The sequence below is a fragment of the Homo sapiens genome, chromosome 6 (assembly GCF_000001405.40).
Source record: "Homo sapiens chromosome 6, GRCh38.p14 Primary Assembly".
In the NCBI taxonomy this organism is placed as follows: Eukaryota; Metazoa; Chordata; class Mammalia; order Primates; family Hominidae; genus Homo; species Homo sapiens.
The window spans coordinates 146,246,796-146,271,731 of NC_000006.12; the positions used below are offsets into that span (position 1 = coordinate 146,246,796).

Sequence of the window (24,936 nt, forward strand, 5' to 3'; positions counted from 1 at the left end):
GGTTCCAAGTTATAAAAGTTTTTGAGCTAACAGGTGAAAATGGTGAATTTACAAGGTATCTGGATAATAATAGGTTCTTGATATACATTGTAGTTTGATGAAACCAGTTATATTAAGGGAGTCTCTTTTGGATCCAAGTTATACAAACCTATTTGAGCTAACTGAGGTGAAAATGGTGAATTTATAATATGGGGGAAGGCCACATTCAGGAATCAGGAAAATAACTGGTATGAGGGACATCAGTATCAATAGGATGTTCTCACATTCCTGCTCCCATGCAATATACTTCCCTCTCTCTGTAGGCCAGTTTCTCTTCTTCTTCAGTCCACAAGGTGTAACACACGGCCCTCAGTAGGCAGCCGTGTTTACATGAGACAGGTAGGGTCAATCTGCTGCTGAGAAAAGATTACTTTCTCAGTCCTCATTCTAAATTCTCTGGGGAGGGAGGCTGTGTGTTACATCTTGGGATCAAATACCCATCTGTGGGGCCACTTATCTGGCAAGGGTCATATATCATTAGTGACCTGGCTGCCACTAACCTAGTGATACAGCTGCATGGTACAAGGAGCGGGGAGGCAGCTTTTAGAAAAAGGCAAGTGAAACAACTTGAAAATAAGTAGCCTGCTACTTTAGAGGAATCAATGTTAAAGCAGTTTAAGAGATGTACATATGGCCGGGTGCAGCAGCTCATGCCTGTAATCCCAGCACTTTGGGAGGCTGAGGCGAGTGGATCACTTGAGGTAAGGAGTTCAAGACCAGCCTGGCCAACATGGTGAAACCCTGACTCTAGTAAAGATACAAAAATATTAGTCGAGCATGATGGGGCACGCCTGTAATCCCAGCTACTTGGGAGGCTAAGGCAGGAGAATCATTAGGACCCGGGAGGTGGAGATTGCAGTGAGCCAAGATTGTGCCACTGCTCCCTAGCCTGGGTGACAAAGCAAGACTCCATCTCAAAAAAAAAAAAAAAAGGAAATGTGTGTGGTGTGTGTGTGTGTGTGTGTGTGTGTATATATATATATATAAAATTACATATTATATGTAATATAACCATGTAACAATATATACTAATATATATTATAATATGTTACAGTATGCTATATCACTAATATAGTATATATAATATATACATATATGATAAAATCAGCCTACATTTTAGAGCCTCATCAAGTTGTACTAAGAATGAAAGAACCTCTATTAGATGTTTCCCTAGGAATCTTTTGTTGGATGCTGGGTCTTAAGAATTGGGAAGGATGCTCTGTTCTGGGGGAAATACTAGATCTTTAGACAAAAGCTTTCTGCTTAGTAAGCCTTCCTCCTTTGCTTCCTCCCTTCCTTTCTCCCTCCCTTCCTTTTCTTCTTTCGTTCCTACAGAAGCAACCCATACCAGTGTAGCTGCTTTCATTATAAAAAGCCCTATTGTGATAAGCCCTTAGGCATGGTGAATGAGAAGAGTTACAAAGATACAAGAAAAGCTGTATAAATTACTGTCAAGATAGGTGGATTGGATTGTGATATGGTTTGGCTCTGTGTCCCACCCAAACCTTATCTCAAATTGTAATGTCCATTTATCGAGGGAGGGACCTAGTAGGAGGTGATTGCATCATGGAGGTGGTTTCTCCCATGCTGTTCTCGTGATAGTGAGGGAGTTCTCATGAGATCTGGTTATTTGATAAGTGTCTGGCACTCCTTGCCCCACTGCTGCCATGTAAAGAAGGTCCTTGCTTCCCCTTTGCCTTCTGCCATGATTGTAAATTTCCTGAGGCCTCCCCAGCCATGCAGCACTGTGAGTCAATTAAACCTCTTCTGTTTATAACTTACCCAGTCTCAGGTAGTAGCCTTATAGCAGTGTGAAAATGGACTAATACAAAGAATTGGTACAAGGAGTGAGGTAAAATGTGGAAGCAACTTTGGAACTGGGTAACAGGCAGAGATTGAAACAGTTTGGAGGACTCAGAACACAAGAAGATGTGAGAAAGTTTGAAACTTCCTAGAGACTTGTTGAATGGTTTTGACCAAAATGCTGATAGTGAGATGGACAACAAAGTCCAGGTGGAGATGGTCTCAGATGGAGATGAGGAACTTATTGGGAACTAGAGCAAAAGTCACTCTTGCTATGCTTTAGCAAAGAAATTTTCAGCATTTTTCCCCTGCCCTAGAGATCTGTGGAACTTTGAACTTGAGAGAGATGATTTAGGGTATCTGGCAGAAGAAATTTCTAAGCAACAAAGCATTCAAGATGTGACCTGGCTTATTCTGAAAGCATTCAGTTACATGCATTCACAAGAAAATGGGTTGAAATTAGAACTTATGTTTGAGAAGGAAGCAGAGCATAAAGATTTATAAAATTTGCAGCCTGACCATGTGGTAGAAAATAAAACCCCATTTTCTGGGGAGGAATTTAAGCCTGCTGCAGAAATATTCCTAAGTAATGAGGAGCTGCATGTTAATAGCCAAGACAATGGGGAAAATGTCTCCAGGGCATGTCACAGACCTTCACATCAGCCTCTCCCATTACAAGTCTAGAGGTCTAGGAGGGAAAAATGGCTTCATGGGATGGGCCCATGACCCTGCTACTCTGTGCAGCTTTGGAACTTGGTGTCCCGCATCCCCGCGGTTCCAGCTCAAACAGTGGCTAAAAGGGGCCAAGGTACAGCTCAGCTGTAGCTTCAGAGCATGCAGGCCACAAGCCTTGGTTGTGTCCATGTGGTTTTGGGCCTATGGGTGCACAGAAAACATGAATTGTGGTTTGGGAACTTGCCTAGATTTCAGAGGATATATGGAAATACCTGGATGCCCAGGAAGAAGTCTACCGCAGGGGTGGGGCAGAGACCTCATGGAGAACCTCTACTAGGACAATATAGAGGGAAAATGTGGGGTTGGAGCCCCCATACAGAGTTCCCACTGGGGTACTGCCTAGTGGAGCTGTGAGAAGAGGGCCACCATCCTCCAGACCCCAAAATGGTAGCTCCACTGACAGCTTGCACCATGCACCTGGAAAAGCCGGAAGCACTCAATGCCAGCCCATGAAAGCAGCCAGGGGGTGGGTTGAGAGGGCTATACCCTGCAGAGCCACAGGGGTGGAACATCCCAAGGGCTTGGGAGCCCACCCCTTGCATTAGTGTGTCCTGCTGACATGGAGTCAAAGGAGATTATTTTGGAGCTTTAAGATTTAATGACTGCTCCACCAGGTTTCAGACTTGCTTGGAGCCTGTGCCACCTTTGTTTTGGCCAATTTCTCTCATTTGGAATGGGAACATTTACCCAATGCCTGTACTCCCATTGTATCTTGGAAGTAACTAACTTGTTTTTGATTTTATAGGCGCATAGGTGGAAGGGGCCTTGTCATAGGTGAGACTTTGGACTTGAATTTTTGAGTTCATGCTGGAATGAGTTAAGACTTTAGGGGACTGTTGGGAAGGCATGATTGGCTTTGAAATGTGAAAAGGACATGGGATTTGGGAAGGGCCAGGGGTAGAATAGTATTGTTTGGCTCTGTGCTGCCACCCACATCTCATCTCAAATTGCAATCACCATAATCCTTACATGTCAAGGGAGGAACCTAGTGGGAGGTGACCAGATCATGGGGACAGTTTCTCCCATGCTGTTTTCATGATAGTGAGTGAGTTCTCATAAGATCTGGTTGTTTGATAAATGTCTGGTGCTTCCCCACTAACCATCCTTCCATGATGTGAAGAAGGTCCTTGCTTCCTCTTTGCCTTCCACCATGATTGTAGGTTTCCTGAGGCCACCCCAGCCATGCAGAACTGTGACTCAATTAAACCTCTTTTGTTTATAAATTGGTCCTAATTGTATTAGTGTGTTTTCACACTGCTATAAAGATACTACCTACTCAGGATACTTCTTTTTACAGAGGAGAAAACTGAGTCACAGATAAGTAAAACAGCTTGACCAGCATCATATGGTGAAGCCAGGATTGGACCCAGTGAGTCTGGTCCCAGAGCCCATTCTATTATGAACCCCATACCTTTTCAGTGTAGGTACAGTGGCATGATAATAATGTAGCTGACAGATTTAAGGGTATATTACTGGAAATGTTTAAATAAATCAGAACTATAAAATTACATAAAGGTGAGAAAAATTACACCATAATTTCCTGTACTTCCTTTGGTTCTAAGGTGACAGATGGGACTATTTTAGCAAGACAAATGTCTTAAAGAACTTCGAGGTTTCTGACATTTTAGTTTTCAGTCCAGATGCAATCCTTTGATTAATGAAGTTCTGGTTTTAGTTTCCCTAATTTTCAGGCTTACACATAAGGTCCTTGGAAGAATATACAATAAGCCTAAGTGAAAACGTTAGTGGCCATCTATCTCTTTCTAAATGGGACCATTTAAATGATTGCAGACAGATAATTGCCTACATTAAAACCATAAAATATGTTATGAAACTCCCTTCTTTGGTCCTCTTACAATCAGGCATCTTAAATACTGACTCCATGTCTATTATCCCTTCTTTCTCCCACTCTAATTTAATTGGTGTAAGTTCCTAAAGCTTCATCAGAAAAATACCTTCCAAATTTTCCCAGTCCTCTTTCATAGTGCTTTTCTAACCCCAAGGTCCTTTTATGTTTGTCCTTGCATTCATTCCATTTTCAGACATCAGTGCCACATTCACAAATCAGCAGACCTAGAGAAAGTAGATCATATATTATTCCATTTTGAATTATTTGTGACCTAAAATTTAAATATTAGAAGTGAGGGGCAGCCTTGCTATATATATCTGGCAGGTCCTACTTGAAACTACCTTAGGCCAAAAGCAGCAGATGCTGTGTTTCACAGTTGTTCAGAAGCATGGCATTTAAGTAAAGACACCTTGTCCATCTAATCTCTTCTCAGCATTTGACTTGGGCGCACGGATAAGGGCAGATTTGTGAGTATGATCCTCATAAATCAACTCCAACCATATCCCTTATTTACTTCTGTCCCTTCAATGGCTTCCTATCTCATTCAAAGCTCATGCCCAGATCCTCTGTGACCTCGTCTCCACTGATGGCATCTTTCAACCTTGAATCAATTACTCTTTCTTGATTTTGCCCAGCACATTCTTACCAGGATGCCTTTGACATTGTACTTCTCTCTGCCTGAATTGCTCTTCCTCATATATTTCCAGGGCTCATGCCTTCACCTCCTTCATGGATTTTTCTCAAATACATCTCAGTGAAGCTTTCCCTGACCACCTTCATAGAATTGTAACCCTCTGTCCTGACACTTCCTTACATCCCTCTTTTTCCTTCTAAGAAGTTATCACTATCTAACATTTTATATATTTTACTTATTTTTCCTTATTAGTTTGCTGTCAAGAATTAGATATTTTTGTTCATTTTATTCACTGGTAAAGTGAAAAAAGGCTAGAAAAGTGCCTTGAAAAGAGTAAGCAGCAAAATATTTGTTGACTAAATAAACAAGCAAAGATTATACATGCAAAAAACAGAGGTAATAAATAAGGGTTTGATTCACTTTTTAATAATGTTTGAAAAATATTTGGGGAGACTTCCTGAGGGAGGTGACATCAAAACTAGGGTTTTAAGGATAAATTAGGCTGGGTGTGGTGGCTCACGCCTGTAATCCCAGCACTTTGGGAGGTCAAGGCGGGTGGATCAATTAAGGTCAGGAGTTCAAGACCAGCCTGGCCAACATGGTGAAACTCTATCTCTACTAAAAATAGAAAATTAGCCAGGCATGGTGGTGGGTGCTGAGGCAGGAGAATTGTTTGAACCCGGGAGGCAGAGGTTGCAGTGAGAGCTGAGATCCCGACACTGCACTACAGCCTGGGCGACAGAGCAAACCTCCAACTCAAAAAACTAACAATTTTAAAAAAGGATAAATTAGAGTTTTAGAGTTTTCCAGCAGGACAAGTTAGAAGTGGAAATTTTACGTAGTTGAAAAAACATGTGCAAAAGCACTGATACAAAACTATATGGTGCATTTAGAATACCTTAAGTTTAAAAATATTGATAAATTGGTTGGGCGCAGTGGCTCACATCTGTAATCCCAGCACTTTGGGGGGCCGAGGCAGGCAGATCATGAGGTTAAGAGATCGAGACCATCCTGGCCAACATGATGAAACTCTGTCTCTACTAAAAATACAAAAATTAGCTGGGCGTGGTGGCGTGTGCTTGTAGTCCCAGCTACTCAGGAGGCTGAGGCAACAGAATCACTTGAACCCGGGAGGCAGAGGTTGCAGTGAGCTGAGATTGTGACACTGTGCTCCAGCCTGGTGACAGAGCGAATCTCCATCTCAAAAAAAAAATTGATAAATTGTATGATATTAAAATAAAAATATTAGAATTTATTATTTAAATCGTGGAAAGTGCATTGGGAGTTTTAAGCATGAGTGATAGAGAATTATGCTCTGTTCTGCTTTTATAAAGATCCTTCGGCAGCAATATGAAGCATAAATTTGCAGAAATTGAGGATTTGTTTAGAGATTTAAGTTAAAAGCATTAGCAACAGTCCAGGCTTCAGTAGATGAGGACTGTACTATAGGATGGAGGGACAGGGATGGTAACAAAAGAATTAACATTATAAATGATTGATTGAATGATTTTCTGTGAATATGTGCGTGTTTTGGGGGGAGATTTAGAGGAGTGAAGGAGCTGAATTTTATTGTTGATGAAAAATGGGGTTGTTCAGCTGAATTACTCAGTTTATTTCTTATTCGTTAACATTGATGTATGTCTTGGGGTAACTCCTAAGCCGTTCACATTCATTTTATATATCTTAAGAGTTCCAGAACTCTGGTTTATTGGTTAGGGAATGCAATTAGTAGGATAGACCTTTGTTTCTTAAAATCAATGAAAAGATCAGCAGAACACCCTAAGCTGTATTTTTTTCTCAAGGTGCATAATCTGAAGACCTTGTGTAAAATCTCGACTCCTGAACTTTTTCCTGAAGTGAACAGAAAATTGTTGATTTTAGTTCACTCAAACAAAATAAGAACTATTCACTGACAAATCTTCTGCATAACATTATTCTGTATGTGAAATACATGGCTGTCTGCTATTGGCAGCTCAGTGTGCATTGTTCAGTAGAAAAGACATAAACTTTGAGTCACAGGGATACAGGCTAAATCCCATACCTGTGAGATAATCTTTGGCAAAATTACCAGGCCACCATGAATCTTACTTTTCTCTTCATAAGACAATATTTTACTTTTTTTTTTTGAAAACCCTACATCCCAGGATAGTTATGAGGTTTAAACTAGATAGTGTGTATGTATAAGTTTGAGGGTCCTTTGATTCTGAGTATAAACAACTTTGGCTAATTAGGAAAATAGGATTTATTGGAAGGAAATCAGGACTTAAATTATTGACATGAAGCCAGAGAATGGGCAGAAACGACGGCAGCAAGAATCACAGAAACAGTCTCATAGCTGAAACAAACTGGTCTGGATGCCACTGCAAGAAAGAGTGTGTGCTAGCTGTTCCTGTTTTTCCTCTTTATGTGACCTGCTTGAGACTCAGTCCCAGGAGAGAGTATCAAATTGGCAGATTTGACCCCTTCCAGCTTCCACACTGGAAGGAAGGCCCTGGGGTTTCCATCCCAGCAAGACTCTAGACGTTCAGACAGAAATAATTCTGCAAAAGGAAATTGGGATGCTGAGAAGGAAGAATGGATTCTTGCTAGACAAAAACATGAAAGTGATGCCTTTAAAGTGATTTATTAAATTGATGACTTTTGACGTGTTTTGATCACAATCCACAGCAAGAAATGCATTTTACATCATGACCTAGGAGTCACATATGTATATGCATGTTTGTATTTCTTTATAACCAAGAAAGATGTTTCTTTTCTTACCAAGCTTATTCTTACCATATATGTTGCTCTGTTTTGTTCTATTTTATTCTATTTCACTTTTTAACAGCCCAGTCATGCCCCACTAAATTGATTTCATAACTTATGAATGGTTTACAATCTACAGGCTGAACACATTTTGTTATAATGTATATAATATTAGTACATTGTACCAAATATTAGCAAACTGTAAATATCAGTTCTTATATCATCTTCCCCCTTTATTTTGCCTCCCACTCTCCCATGAAATAAAATCACAGTCAGTGACTGAATGACCAAGATATCTGCAGCCTCTCTCATTTTATTGGCTGATGGCATAGTTTTAGTCATAGTTTCCTGAAGAATAGAGTTGTATCAATTTCATAACTTTTAAGAGATGTGGCATATAAATAAAAACGGTATGAATAAAGAAATAGTAAAATGAAGAATGTGAGATAACTTAAGCCTCAGCAAAACTACAACCGCCTTCTTGAAATATCATAGTTTTCTGCTCTGCACACAAACATCTGCTGTTGCTCCCTGAAATGAGATTCCTGAGGCTAAGCACACCTTTTCTTAATCTTGACTGTATTGAAAAACCTATTTGGATATTTTTGGTACAAACATATATTTTGGCCTAAGATGTTGAGTTAATTGGTTTAGAGGTTTGAGGCTTGAATTAATGAAATAATTGACTCAATTCTTTATTTTTTATTTTAGTTAGTCTTTCACCAAAGCATTATTAGACTCATAATACATTTGACCAAAGATCTTCAATCTAATATAATTGGATAATTTACTGTAATTATTTCATTTTTAATGATCCCCTATCCCATTTCCTAGGAGAACTGTGGCAATCTCTCTCTTCAAACCTTTAGTGCTTGATCTATCCTTATCAAACCAGGGGATGATTTCCCTAACTTGCATTTGAAGCCTTCCTCCCTGAGATTTCTCTTTAGAATCCCTCAAATTTTAAGGTGTATCATTTCTCCTGTGTCTGGATCTCATTCCTTTTGGCATCTCCTGGTAGCCAAGTTCTTGAATTTGTCCTCTTTCATTTTCTTCTTCAAACCAGCCTTCTCTACTGGCGAAATCATCTCTTTTTACAAATGTTCTCTGATGCCCTAACAAACTATCTGAACACGATTGCTCAACTTTCCTGTTCCCACAAGCTACCATTCCATAACTCCATCTTTCTTCACACGCTACATTTTTTTAAAGTACTGTATGTACATTTTGCTTCCATTTCATACTATCCACTCATTCCTGTGTCTCTAATCAAGCATTCACTCTTCAATCTACTAAAACTCTTCCCTGAGTCTCTCATGACAATATCCAAGATGTGTATTTGTTTCAGTTGGTTTCCTTGTTGTGACACTATTCTGGTGCTTTGACTCAAGCTGTATCCTAACCAGTAGGCATTTCCCAAAGCCCTCTGCTGACCAACCTTCTTTTTGGTAGAGGGGCGAGATACACTTACATCTACTGGCTCGGATACAGCTTGAGTCGAAGAGAATAGGCAAATAATTTAACTTTGGTTCAATCTGGGATCTGCCACTGTGAGCTATGCCATCTTGCCTAATTGTCCTACCCTTCTCAGCACTGTATAATGGAAATAATAGAGCCCATATCCTAGGGTCTTCTGAATGTTAAATGAGAAAATATTGGTAAAGTGCTTAGAGAGTCCTTGGCTGGTTTTCAGTGTCAGTTATCATTTTCCCACCAGGGAAACAGAGGCCCTTCTGTTGCAGATGGAAGAACACATTTTTCAAATTCATGAAGAGTGAGTTCCTCCACTATACCACCCTAGGCCTCTATCTGGCCCTTCACTCCTCCCCCAGTGTGTCTGGGGAAAGAGTCCTCCTATGTAGCTTAACTCCTTCCATCTTCCTTTTTCTCCACTCTCCTCCTTTATGCCCGAAATTTTGTAGAGGACACTGTGTATGATAAGTTTATCTAAGGCTAGGGCTCTATATTAGGAAGTTGATTGTGTTGCACTCCTAAGCCATCATCTTCAGCACTTTTGGATTCATCTGCCATCTCCTTTATCTATTTCAGTTGATGAAGAATTTGAGCAGAGAAAAAAGGGTGGTGACCCTGTGGACCTTCTCAAACCCCAACACTTACTGATATTTTTCCCCTACTCCATTGGATTCTCAACTCCAGGCTTTCTCTACTGTGGTCCGTCCTATACAATGCTGCTTGTCATCTTCCTAAAGTCCTCACGAAATTGTTTCCTTTACAACCAGAAAAGCTGCTCCCTGTTATTTACACAATTGCGTGTGGATTTCCCAGGGGTGTTCATGGCCCTCTACTGCAACGTCTAATTTCCCCACTGCTGCTTTTGTGTTACTCCATGCTCCAGATGAGCTAGATGTTTTCCTGAACAGCACATAAGTTTTCTGCCTCTGTGTTTTGTTTTATGCCATTTTTTCCACCTAAAGAATAGTCTCTCATCCTTCTTTATTTTTTGAAATTCTGGAACTTAAGTCCATCTCTTCTGCTATCATCTTTTCAGTAAAGGCCTTCTCTATCCCCATTCTGATATAATTAATTCGTTCATTAGCATGTATTTTTCAATTCTCTTACGGCATGTAGACACATATAAGTGTATATATAGGCATCCTTATTTTAAAATTTATAATGGGACTGGTTTTCACCTTATACAATCAGATCATAACCTGTTTAAGGACAGGAAATACAGCCTCTTGTTTTTAAGCCCCATAGTGGCTGTGTAGCATTGAGTATTTAGCAGGGAGTCCTGTAGTTAATGAGTGCTCATTAAGTCACTAAGTATTTTATGATTTAAATTGAAATGAGTAGTCAGTGTATTATTCAGTATTCTCCAGCAAAACAAAACTAGTAGAACACATACCTACCTATATGTGTGTGCGTATGTGTGTGTCTGTCTGTGTAATATGTGTGTATATATATATATATGTATAATTTATATGTGTGTACATATATATATTACATATAATTTCTTATAAAGAATTGACTTACGTAATTATAAAAGTTAAGAAGTTCCATGTTCCGCTATCTACGAGCTGGATACCCAAGAAAGCTGGCAGTATAGTTCTGAGAACCAGATGAGGGCAGGAGAAGACTCGTGAACCAGCTCAAGCATTCAGGTGAAGACAGCAAATTTCCCCTTTCATCTTTTTTTTTGATTCAGGCTCTCAATGGATTGCAGGATGCCTACCCACATTGGGGAGCAATCTGCCTACTGATTCCCCTGATTCAAATGCAAATTTTATTGGGAAACACTCTTCAGAGAGACATGCAGAAATAATGTTTAATCCGAGCACCTCATGTCCCAGTCAAGTTGACACATAAAATTAACCAACACATCCAGGATACACACGGAACACACTTTCCATCCGTTTGTTCTTCCGTAAAAAAAAAAAAATAGTTTTTTTCTAAGAAAATACTTGTGGTTTTAGTAGCAGAATTAACTAAACTGCCCAGCAGTTACTGTTGTATGAGCAATTTTCTTCAGGTTTTCAGGTTGAAGAAGCTGGTTTAAGATTTTACAACTTCTAATAGAATTGAAGACATTGAAATGCTGGTTTGAGGACTTGCCTGATTTCTATCAGCAGCAATGATATTCATGCAAAATTTTCTTTGAAAATGAGCTCCTAAGCACTTTAAAAATGCTTTGGGGTGCACGTTTTCCTGAATTCATCCTATAAAATATGTATCATGTGCCTATATGCACATGACTGAGCTAAACTTGATTTTAAAAATCCTAAATGCAAAGGTAGGCAGCCTGCTCTACCCAAGAGGGTTTTTTCCTGGCACTTTGCCTTTATCAACCACAAATATGCTCATTCTTTCCTCTTTCTGCCTTATTGCAGTTCACTTTCTGCCTCTTTTTGTTTCTAAGTCTCCTTGATATCTTGCCCTCTTTTGTTCCTATGTATTTTATTTTATTCACCTTTTTTTTGAGATAGGCCCTTGCTCTGTTGCCCAGGCTGTAGTACAGAGGCATGATCATAGCTCACTGCAGCCTTGAAATCCTGGGCTCAAGAGATCCTCCTGCCATGGCCTCTGAAAGTGCTGAGATTATAGATGTGAGTCATGGTGCCGGGCCTTTATTTTATCCCTGACTTACCTGCCAGAGGGTTTGCTCAGGGGCCCCATGTGTTAAAATGTTTCACCAAATTTACCTCAGTTGTGAAGCCTCTGAGAATACCAGAGAGATCACTGGAACCAAATAGCCTAGAAGTTGACCTTAATACATGCAAGACACTAAATCCACGACAGCAGGGGTCATACCTACCCTACTTACTATCCTAGCTGCAGCATCTTGTTCAATGCATTGAAATAATAGATATACATTTGCTGAACAATGACTTGTCAAGAATGCTAATACATGAAAAAGCCCTTTGTATCCCATCTAGAATACTGAAGAGTTCTTGCCTGGCTGTACTCCTGGGGCTGGCAAAGACTTTTCTGTCTAAGCTTCCATGAGCTGTCTGCCCAGTAAATTTGGACTGGTCCCATCACCTGGGCATATTCATGGTTAAAGGTTAATACTCCTAGAGAACGCTTTCCCTTCCACCTCTTTCCTTGACTTACTTTTATTAATCCATCAAGTCCTAGTTTAGACAATCAATTTTGATGAAATTTAAATCTAGGATGGTGGCCTGATCTCAGGTACTACTGTGTTTTTCCTCTCTCAGTGCTTATCACACTGACTTTGGTTTTTAATTGTGTAAGAATACTTAAAATAAGATCTGCCCATTTTACAAAAAATTTAAGTGCATTATATAGTATTGTTAACGTTAGGCCCAATGTTGTACATTGGATGTTTAGAACTTATTCATTTTGCATAACTGAAACTTTATACCCATTTAGCAACAACTCCTGTGCCCCGCTGGCAGTGGCAGCCACCATTGTACTCTCTGCTTTTATGAGTTTGACTACTCCAGATAGCCCATATTAGCAGAATCATGCAATAGTTGTCCTTCTGTGATGGCTTATCTCACTTAGTATAATGCCCTCTATGTTCATTCATGTTGTTTCAGATGGTAGAGTTTCTTCTTTTTAAAAGCCAAGTAATAATCCATTGTATGTATATATCCCATTTTCTTTCCTCGTTCATTCGTTGATGAACATTTGGGTTGTTTCTATATCTTGGCTATTGTGAATAATGCTTCAAGGAACATGGCATACACTATCTCTTTGTGTTCCTGATTCCAGTTTTTCTGGATATATAACCAAAGGTGGAATTGCCAGATCATATGGTAGATCTATTTTCTTTAAGAACTTTCATGCTGTTCTTCACAGGAGCTGTATCATTTTATATTCCCATCAACAATGTAAAAGCATTCCAATTTCTACACATCCTCACCAATACTTATTTATATATATATATATTTATATATATATATATGTTAGTGACACTATTTTATTTTTATTATTTTTTATTATACTTTAAGTTCTAGGATACATGTGCAGAACGTGCAGGTTTGTTACATAGGTATACATGTGCCCTGATGGTTTGCTGCACCCATCAACCCATCATCTGCATTAGATATTACTCCTAATGCTATCCCTCCCCTAGGCCCCCACCCCTCAACAGGTTCCAGTGTGTGATGTTCACCTCCCTGTGTCCTCATTGTTCAATTCCCACTTATGAGTGAGAATATGTGGTGTTTGGTTTCTTGTTCCTGTGTTAGTTTGCTGAGAATGATGGTTTCCAGCTTCATCCATGTCCCTGCAAAGGACATGAACTCATCCTTTTTTATGGCTCCATAATATTCCATGGTGTATATGTGCCACATTTTCTTTATCCAGTCTATCATTGATGGGCATTTGGGTTGGTTCCAAGTCTTTGCTATTGTGAATAGTGGTGCAATAAACATACATGTGCATGTGTTTTATAGTAGAATGATTTATAATCCTTTGGGTATATACCCAGTAATGGGATTGCTGGGTTAAATGGTATTTCTGTTTCTAGATCCTTGAGGAATTGCCACACTGTCTTCCACAGTGGTCGAACTAATTTACACTCCTACCAACAGTGTAAAAGAGATATTTTTAATAGTAGCCATCCTAAAACGTGTGAAGTTGTATCTCATCTCCGTTTTGATTTGCATTTCCCTGATGATTAATGAGCAGCTTTTCATAAATCTGTTGGCCATTTGTATGTCTTCTTTGGAAAAATGTCTTCAGTCCTTTGCCCATTTTTTAATTAGGTTATTTGGGTTTTTTTTTTTTTTTTTTTTTTTTTTTTTTTTTGCAATTGAGGTGTAGGAGTTTCAATTGATTTTTCTATTTCTCCTTTGACTGTTAGCTCTATTTGGGAAGAAAGCTTCTCTTTCTTGCTCACCTCTATATTTTTAGCATCTAGATACTGCTTGGCAAAAGCCGGGGTAGAGACATTGAGTGAAAGCCATTAATTGAAATTTTTAAATGGGGACTTTGGCTTAACCTGGCTAGTCATTCATGCTGTTATATAAACTTACTTGAAAAAACAAGTGGAATCCCAGGGCGTTTGACCAAGCTGGCTGTACTGTGAGTGAGGAGTCAGCAAGGATTAACGAGCAAGCTACAGACCGTGGAATTATGGAAAATCTGAAGGACAGTGTTCAGGGATGAAGCAAAAATAAAATGCCAAGGAGAAAATCCAACTGAAGGATCTGTCTGGAGTTGATGAGCAGAAGTGGGTGTTATGCAATGGGGACTGAAATGAAAGACACAGTGACATTGTAAATGAGTAGGAAAGGAGGGTAGGCTGAAGTACCCAAATGCCTTGGAACCTGGTCGAGGAGTTGTTTTGTGGATCTTCTAATCTGGAGCATAGAGTGAAGGGAAGGAACTGTTTAAATGTGCCAGTTCAAACAGGATAGATGTTGTGGTTCTCAATTTCCCAAAAAATGCTCTTTAACATGGAGAAAAAAAATCAAGATTTTCTAAACTAATTCTGACTGTAAACCATTGTCAATCTTGGATAAATCTTCATTAATTTAACATTAATTTAATTGAGAACTAGTTGGCATCTGACAGGTACTTTCTCACCTGGAATAGACCAAAACCTAGAGATCTGTAGGAAAGTAGCCCTAAGCCTAACTGCCTTATTATTATTATTATTAAGTTTCATATGTGATTTGAATTAAAAACCAGTATTGAGAACTGCTGGCATGGATGATCTAATTTAATCTAATTTTAGCATATGGGCTTGAGATGGTCTCCTAAAATGCAGAGAAAAAAATCAAATAAATAAAGTAAAGCAAAAGCAGACTATAGATATGAAAAAAATAGAAAAGAAATGTAAGCTACAAATTATAGTCATTTTCTCAAGAGAGGACAGGGCATTAGAACAGAAGCAATGATTTGAAGCATAGTTTTAGAAAGTTACAAAGGAAAGCCCCCTTGAAAGGGCACGCCATGTTTCAAGTGAAATGAATTTAAAGAGAGGCACCTGGGCACATTCTTGAAATATCTAGGAATTTCAAAACATAAAAAATTCTAGTAGAAAACAAAACAAAAAAAAAAAAAAGAAGGAAAAGACACAAAGGTATAAACCCGAGCTAGCTTCAGGTTTTTATGATAGAAGAAAATGTAAAAATGGCCAAGAATTTTGTGAAAAACAGTTTGTTGTTATCTGCACCCAGTCAAGATGTTGTCCTCATGTGGAAGAAAGGTTAAAAAAAATATTTAAAATCTTATGTAGAAAAAATTATCTTGACAACCTGCTGAAAAATTGTATAAACATATTCGCCATCTGACTAGATTTTAGGAGTCATTAGATTTTCATCTCACAGCATATACCAAAAGTATCTTAAGTAAATTAAACTATATGTGTGTGTCTCTATTTATAATTTACTTCATGTATATATATGCTAACAGAACAATGAAAATATACATAAATATTTCAAGGTAATGCATGAATCAAAAAGGAAAGTATTCATAACACTGACTCTTTAAACATCTGTTTACAACAGAAATCATCATAAACAAAATGTTTTAAAAACCAACAAAATAAGAATGTATATATTATACACTCAACATGTATATATTATATTTTCTCTGTGTATGTGTATGTATATGCATACCTATATACACATATATAAACACAATACACACACATATATACATCCAAACTATAATGATGTAACAAATATGAAACATATGGAACCTTGATGTGGGCAAATGACATGAAGAGGAATTACAAATCTAAAAGTAAGTATATTGATAAATATTTGTTGAGTAAATGTTTAAACCCCAAATTTAAATGTATACATATATATATATTTACTCATAATGAACAATTTAATAATAAACAAAGGCAAATTAAATAAACGACCTAATGCAATTTGTCACCTATTAAATTATCAAAGATTCAAACAGCCATCCATATGGTATTTCTCATGTTGGTAACTGTGAGTAGATGAACATCTTCACAGTACCACACTTACTGCTGCTGAATGTAAATAACACTATCAAACTGGCAATATGTATTAAGAACCTTTAAAATATTTATTTCTTTTGACTCAGTATTTCCCCTTCTTGACTCTGTTCTTAGAAACGTATCAGGATACTGATCAAAATGCATGAAAAATGGTGTCTACTTCAGTGTCATTTGTAGTACAAAAAAATTTAGAAATGGATAAAATATCTAGCTATTGGTTAGGAGAAAATATTTTTGTTACAGCCATAAAAACATTTAAAAACAATTTTTCATGATGTGAGGAATAGTTTATTATATAATTATAACTAAATCACTGAATGTGAAATTATTAGTATGATTGCAGTTTTGTAAAGGAAAATAGATTATGTTTTTAGGAGATTGGAAAGAATTAACCAAACATAGTGCTATTATTCTCTAAATGGTGAGATATTAGGTAATTTATATGTTATTCTTTATGCCCTTTACATATAAAATTCTAAGTGTATGTTCAAAAAATTATAAAATAGCAGGGAAGTATTATTCAGTAAACAATGCGCTGATAAATAGCAATTTAAAAGCAATTCAGATTAGATCCTTATCTCGTACACAAGCATACATTTGCTTATTGCTTTAGTACAATATTTTCTATGTCTGTCTGAATGCCAGCACTGCAACATTTTGTAGCTTGATTATTTTGCATTTCAATTACTACAATCTCTACAATGTTTTAGGAGAAAAATAACAGAATGGCTAGTTTAATCTATTATACAAATCTAAGTACACATTTATAGAAAAATCAACTATTTCATTTATAGTTGGATCTTTAATTTTCTCATGAAAAAAGGAACTAGGCTAAGGCATAGGTTCTTCACTTTTTGCTGTAATGACATTAAAAGTCAATTTGAGAGAATGCGTGCTAGTCTTTTACTGTTGGCAATATACAGCAATTGCATTACCTTAGAACACTGTTCTTTGCAGAATGCATGCTCATTGGAGAGTTAATGAATGTTAAATTAACATCTTAATGAAAATTGTATATTAATACTGCTCTTGTTCCTAAATAGTCATTTAATTCTGATAAATCAAGGAATTCAATTTTTGCTAAATAAAAATCACCGTCTTGGAAAGCATGATGCTGCAACTGAACATTTGCTGTATTTCTGAAATTCAGAGCTACTATTAAAGAGAAAATACATTCAGTTTGAGGACTGTATGGTTTGGAAATTTTGCTTACTGTCCTATAGAAGAAATCAAACGGTGTTTTCAGTGTTCTAAAATGAGTCATTAGATACTCCAATTTAGTTATAGATATGAAAATGGTATACTGTATTGCTCACATGATAGAACTTTAACAATATTTCTATCATAAATTTAATAAAAGGTTTAGCCCAACAATAAAAACATGACAGTAAGATTCTTAATGCACAGTATAATAGTAAGAAGATAATTTTTAATTAAAATTTTAATCAAAATGAATTTAAATATTTCAGTGCAATTGAAAATTAAGTATGAGTTTTTTGTTGTTTTTGTTTTTGTTTTTTTTTTAGATTCGGGGGTTACATGTGTAGGTTTGTTACATGTGTAGGTTTGTTACATGAACATATTGCATAATGGTGAGATTTGGACTTCCACAGTACCCATCATCCAAATAGTGAACATTGTAACAAAAGGCAATTTTTCAGCCCTCATCCCTCTGCTACCCTACCCTCTTTTGGAGTCTCCAGTGTATATTATTTCCATCTTTATGTCCATGTGTGCCCATTGCTTAGCTCCTACATGTAAGTGAAAACATGGAGTATATGATTTACTGTTTCTTCGTTATTTCACTTAAGATAACAGCCTCCAGCTCCATCCATGTTGCACAAAAGACATGATTTTATTCTTTTTTATGGCTGCATAATATTCCATGGTATATACATCCCTCATTTTCTTTATTCAGGTATCACTTGATGAACACTTAGGTTGACTCCATGACTTTGCTCTTGTGAACAGTGCTCTGATAAACATACAATTGCAGGTATCCTTTTTATATGATTTATTTTCCTTTGGGTAAATACCCAGGAGTGAGATTGCTGGGTCAAATGGTAGTTCTAGTTTTAGTTCTTCGAGCAATCGCTACACTGTTTTTCATAGAGGTTATACTAATTTACATTCCCACCAACAGTGTATAAGCATTCCATTTTGCATGCATCCTCACCAACATCTGTAGATTTTTTACCTTAATAATAGCCATTCTGACTAGTGTAAAATGGTATGTTATTGTGGTTTTAATTTGCATTTCTGTGATGATTAGTAATGTTGAGCATTTTTGTATATTTGTTGGCCACTTGTACATCTTCTTTTGAGGAATGTCTGTTCATGTCCCTTGTTCACTCTTTAGTAGAGTTATTTGATTTTTCTTGATGAGTTGTTTGAGTTCCTTGTAGATTCTGAATATTATTTCTTTGTCAGATGTATAATATGCAAATATTTTCTCCCATTCTGTAGGTTGTCTTCTTATTCTGTTGTTTATTTCTTTGGCTGTCCAGAAACTTTTTAGTTTAGTAGTCTCATTTGTCTATTTTTGTTTTTTGTTGCATTTGCTTTTGAGAGCCTAGTCAAAAATTATTTGCCTAGGCCAATGTCTAGAAGACTTTTTCCTGGGTTTTCTTGTAGCATTTTCATAGCTTCAGGTCCTACATTTAAGTATTTAATCCATCTTGAGTTAGTTTTTGTATATTGTGAGAGATAAGGACCCAAATTCATTCTCCTTATGGCTAGCCAATTTTCCCAGCACCATTTATTGAATAGGGCATCCTTTGCCCATTGTTTATTTTTGTCAACCATCATTGTATGTGGCTTTACTTATGGGTTGTCTATTGTGTTCCATTAACCTCTGTGTCTATTTTTGTTAACTATTTAAAAAAAATACATATTAGAGGCTGGGAGTGGTGGCTCACGCCTGTAATCCCAGCACTTTGGGAGGCCGAGGTGGGCGGATCACAAGGTCAGGAGAGCGAGACCATCTTGGCCAACATGGTGAAACCCTGTCTCTACTAAAATACAAAAAATTAGCCAGGTATGGTGGTGCGTGCCTGTAATCCCAGCTACTTGGGAGGCTGAGGCAAGGGAATTGCTTGAACCCGGGAGATGGAAGTTGCAGTGAGCTGGGATTGCACCACTGCACTCCAACCTGGTGACAGAACAAGACTCTGTCTTAAAAAAAAAATACATATTAGAGAGTTAACTTTTAAAACTACAATATATGTTAGTAAACATAAAATAATCCAGCATGAAATGAGCAAATAATATTTACAATAAAATTTAAATATTTGCATGCAATATTTGATTTTGAATTATAACTTAAATATAATTTAACAGGGTGTTGATAAAGTTTTAGTTTTCTTAATACCTTCAATTCTCATTCTTCTATTCATTTTTTTCCTTCCCTCAATCTCCCAGGAACCCTTTTGTCTTAATTAGTTCCATCATATTTTGACCACTAGAATTAATCATCCAACAAGAATGAATTGTCTGTCGTTCTTCAGTCTTTTCTTTAATATCAGCATTTAATTAATCACCAGGTTCTACAGGAAACTCCTCTTTCCCTGATCTCCCAGCTTCACTTATCTCCAACCACACTCCCGCTGTCCTAGTGAAGAACCCTATAAATTCTTATCCAATTATTTTCTCTTTGTAACTTGTTCAAACTTGGTAACTTTGTAACTAGCCTTACAGCAAGCCCTGCTCCCATCCATTCACCGCGTGCTAACGAAGGGCTCTGGCTAGAAAACAACTCTGCTAGTATCACCACCTTGTGTCCATCTTTTGATGGCTTCCCATTCAAGGTCCCTGTTGAATAGCCTTCCAAGTGGTAGAGATAAAGAGCAAATTCCATAACAGGATTTGTTTTTAATTTCCAACTTTTATGTTAAGCTTAGGGGTACATGTGCAGGATGTGCAGGTTTGTTACATAGGTAAACACGTGCCACAGTAGTTTGCTGCACAGATCATCCCATCACCTAGGTATTAAGCCCAACATCCATTAGCTATTCTTCCTGATGCTCTCCCTCCCCCTACCCTCCAACAGGCCCCAATGTGTGTTATTCCCCCCATGTGTCCATGTGTTTTTATCACTCAGCTCCTACTTATAAGTGAGAACATATGGAATTTGGTTTTCTGTTCCTGCATTAGTTTTCTGGGGATAATGGCTTCCGGCTCCAGCCATGTCCCTGCAAAGGCCATGATCTCATTCCTTCTTGTGGCTGCATAATATTCCATGGTGTATATGTACGGCATTTTTTTATCCAGTCTGTCATTGATGGGCATTTAGGTTTATTCCATGTCTTTGCTATTGTGAATAGTGCTGGAATGAACATATGTGTCCATGTATCTTTATAATAGAAAGAGTTATATTCCTTTGAGTAATATACTCATGTATTAGTCAGGGTTCTCTTAGAGGGTCAGAACCAATAGAATATATATAGGGGAGTTTATTAAGTATTAACATACACGATCACAAGGTCGCAAAATAGGCTGTCTGCAAGCTGCAGAGCAAGGAGAACCAGTCTGAGTCCCAAAACTGAAGAACTTGGAGTCTGATGGATTGAGGGCAAGAAGTATCCAGCATGGGAGAAAGATGTAGGCTGGGAGGCTGGGCTGGGCTGGGCTGCGCTGGGCTGGGCTGGGCTGGGCTGGGCTGGGCTGGGCTGGGCTCGGCTCGGCTCGGCTCGGCTCGTCTCGTCTCGTCTCGTCTCGTCTCGTCTCGTCTCGTCTCGTCTCGTCTCGTCTCTTCATGTTTTTCTGCCTGCTTTATATTCACTGGTGGCTGATTAGATTGTGCCCACCAGATTAAGGGTGGATGTGCCTTCCCCAGCCCACTGACTCAAATGTTAATCTCTTTTGGCAACAGACACACTCAGGATTAATACCTTGTATCCCTCAATCCAATCAAGTTGACACTGAGTATTAACCATCACAAGTCAGTAATTGGATTGCTGGGTTGAATGATATTTCTGCCTCTAGGTCTTTCAGGAATTGGCACACTGTCTTCCTCAATGGTCATAACAAGACTTTTGAAGCCCTGTGAATTCTGATTCATTCTTGAAATTCACCCCTTTTTTGACCACTTCTGCTAACCACTTTGCTTTCCACCTCTACTAAACACATTCCTCAAGACTTGACATGTTTTCACTTATCTCAAGATTTTTGTTTTTACTTAGTAAGGTGTAAGTAATTGACACACATTTTTTAAAATGACTGAACATATAAAAATGTTAAGCCCCCGACCTACAGTAACTTTCCATTGCCACTTCTCAGCACTTTACCTCACTGAGTCCTATTATGTCCACTTATGTTTATGCTTAAGAAGTTCACTCCTTCATGACTTCTTTTCCAAAGGCTTTCTTAATTCCTGGTGCTGTTTCTTCTGGGTAGGAGCAATATTGCTCTATCTATACTGACTACATTTGTATCATTATCCATTTACTTATTTGTCTTTCCTGCATTCCTTCATTACAAGTATTTATTAATACTTGTATCTTCAATGCCAGTCACATGCTTGATAGTATTAGGCACCCAGTAAGTGTCTGTTGAATAATGAGATAAATGAAAATTCTGGTGTAGAGATTTATAAAATACTCTATTAAAATCATCCTTGACCACCATGAGTCAGCTCACATACTACCTCCTACAATAGAACTTTTCTGATTCTTTACCATTGTCAACTGGATATGACCTTTCTGACCTTGCAGCCCCTGCAGTACTTCAGTTATCCTCTCTTAAAACTCATAATGCTCTAAAATTTTTATAGAACCACAAATGACTTCAAATAGCCAAAGCAATTTTGAGCAAAGAGAACAGAGCTGGAGGCATCACACTTCCTTGACTTCAAAATATACTACAAAGTTATTGTAGCCAAAGCATAAAAACAGACATAGACCAATGGAACACAAGACAGCCCAGAAATAAACCCACACACTTACAGCCAACTGATTTTTGACAAAGGCACCAAGAACATTGAATAGAAAAAGAACAGCCTCTTCATCAGAGTTCTAATTTTTTTTCCCTAGACTTACAAAAGGTACTCAAGATCAGTAAGTACAGAAAAACCAACAACATATGTATTCCTTAAGGAAAGAGGCTTGTTTTTATCCGCCCTGACTGCTTCTTCTGAAGCAAACCAGGTGACATGAGTACATGTGATGTTAAGTAAATGATAGCATTATAATTTTATCAATTGACCTATAAAATAAGTATCCCCAATTTGCATTCTTACAGGGAGCATCAAGCCAGATTTCATGTTATACTTGAATGAAAATTCAATAATCAGTGTCTAACTTTGCATGTCTCTAATGTATATTTACACTTCCTTTTATAGTTAATAAGAGGATTCATGCTTCATATGTCATTTAAACCTCCTAAAAATTCTATGAATTAGCACAGCTTTAAAACACTGATAGAAAGAATGGAGTTCACATACACACTTCACAGAGAAGAGAATCTGGATTTTGGCTGGTTGTTTCAGAAGACAATTACCAAGATGTTTTATAGCAGGGGTCCCCAACCTCCAGTCTCAGGTTGGTACCAATCTGTGGGCTGTTAGGAACTGGGCTGCACAGCAGGAGGTGAGTGGCAGTGGTGAGCAAGCATTACCACCTGAGCTGGCCTCCAGCAGATCAGCAGGGTCATTAAATTATCATAGGAATGCAAACCCTGTTGTAAACTTCATATGCAAGGGATCTAGGGTGCATGCTCCTTATGAGAATCTGATGCCTGGTGATCTGAGGTGGAACAGTTTCATCTGAAAACCTCCATGGAAAAATTGTCTTCCATGAAACTGGTCCCTGGTGCCAAAAGTTTGAGGACCATTGTTTTAGAGGACAAAGTGTGAGAGAAAAATGACCAGGATGGTGAGCAAACTCATTAGGAATGGTTGAAGCTTGTGTGCAATAAATACTTGCTAAACAGGATTAAATGGAATAATGTAATGTTTAAATAAAAAAAAAAAACAAGAAATGGGGGGATCAATTTGCATAAAATTCAGACACAAAATGATGCTGAGGATGCCTAAGTTTACATATTTTTTGCATATGGTATATTAAGGTTTTATGTTTTTGTCCATCACAAGGGCCTGCTAGCTGGAAAAATTAGATTTAGGTAGGTTGAACTTTTTCCTTAACAGTGCATATTTCCAAGAACTCCAAAGAGAAAAGAGAGAGAGTGTATAAGCAAACAAGGCACTTGTGATAATTATTTCCTTAAAAAAAGATTCAGGGATCAACACTTTTTTCTTTTATTTTTCAAAAAGAGATGATCAGCATTCAGAATATTTTGAAAATAAAACAATGCAAAACTCAGCAAGTGTGTTTTATCCAGTTCAATGTCTGTAAATCTTTTATTAAAACTTCTTCTGCCTCAGACAGAAGAATCTTCTACATTATGTCAGGATTTCAAGAGCAACATTGGAAAGATATGTTGCTTTCAAGTGATTTTTTTCTCCCTAGTTAATGTTTATAGGGAAGGCTTTCAGAACAAATATAGGAAAAAAATCAATCACCAAAGGATGAGTTGTGCTCTGGCCCCAAGGCAGGAGTTGCTGATAACTCCCCATGACCCCCAACCCAAGGTTTGAATTCCTCCAACTTTCCTTCTCTACTTTCTCTTTTGTGACACCTGAGATAGTTGGTCACAATGTTGGTGACCAAGAAAAAATTAACTGCCCTAAACCACTTGGAAATTGAAACTACAAACTAATTTTCATGAACACCATTTCAGGGAGGAACATACTTATGTAGTCTCCTAATTGCAGAGTTTTTAATATTGTACCCACTAAAGATTTTCTTTTCTGTCTGCCTGCCTGCCTGCCTGCCTTTCTTTCTTTTTCTTTCTTTCTTTCTTTCTTTCTTTCTTTCTTTCTTTCTTTCTTTCTTTCTTTCTTTCTTTCTTCCTTCCTTCCTTCCTTCCTTCCTTCCTTCCTTCCTTCCTTTCTTTCTTTCTTTTTTTTTTCTCTCTCTCTCTTTCTTTCCTTCTTTCTTTCTTTCTTTCTTTCTTTCAAGATGAAGTCTCACTCTGTCACCCAGCCTGGAGTTCAGTGGCATGATCTCAGCTCACTGCAACCTTCACCTCCCAGGTTCAAGCAATTCTCCTGCCTCAACCTGCTGAGTAGCTGTGATTACTGGCACATGCCACCATGCCCAGCTAATTGTTTGTATTTTTAGTAGAGATGAGGTTTCACTATGTTGGCCAGGATGGTCTTGATCTCCTGACCTCATGATCTGCCTGCCTCAGCCTCCCAAAGTGCTGGGATTACAAGTGTGAGCCACTGTGCCCGGCCAGAGTTTCATTTTTTTAAGTAAGCTCTAGTGATATCCAGTTGAGAGGTTGCCAGGGCTCCCTGGCCCAGAGCCTAGAACCAGACTGTAATGAGGTAGGAGGGTTTTACTATGGCTCAGGAAAGAGACTTGTTAGGAAGCTGGTGGAGGTGGACAGAGGAGGAGGCTGTGGAAAAGGAGACAAAGGGGCCTCTGAGGGAATCCTGGAGAGGGAAAGAGGCCTAGGAGTTCAGAAAGGCTTCTGAGAGGTAGGTGGTCTTTTGAACATTTACCTTATTCCAACTCGAGTTCTAAGTCTTTTGAGCTTTGCCTGTCATTAAGTTTTGTAAGCATAGAATTGCATTTTCTTAAATGTAGGCAGTCTGTCACCTTAAAAATTTCTAGCCTTGTTTGTAGAAAAGGGTGAAGAACAGCTGCCCAAGTGAGCCAC

General features: G+C 38.0%; 1 protein-coding gene across 8 annotated transcripts in view, besides 1 other annotated feature; it reads left to right on the forward strand.

Annotated features, from left to right (window-relative positions):
• The window catches only part of GRM1 (glutamate metabotropic receptor 1), a 409,895-nt gene that overhangs the window by 219,089 nt on the left and 165,870 nt on the right, over positions 1-24,936 (forward strand). Inside the window, exon 1 of one of the 8 annotated variants that reach the window (XM_017010788.2) lies at positions 24,615-24,754. The exons of the other annotated variants lie outside the window; for them this stretch is intronic. The gene's annotated coding sequence lies outside the window, so the exon portion shown is untranslated. Of the gene's footprint in view, positions 1-24,614; positions 24,755-24,936 lie in introns of those variants that run through there. 8 annotated transcript variants of the gene reach the window in all.
• Positions 10,735-11,286: an enhancer, noted in NCBI's record as "OCT4-NANOG hESC enhancer chr6:146578666-146579217 (GRCh37/hg19 assembly coordinates)". NCBI's record gives its function as "activates a minimal SCP1, AML or CMV promoter by ChIP-STARR-seq in primed H9 embryonic stem cells {active_cell/tissue: H9 hESC(primed)}" and the evidence as "EXISTENCE:reporter gene assay evidence [ECO:0000049][PMID:30033119]".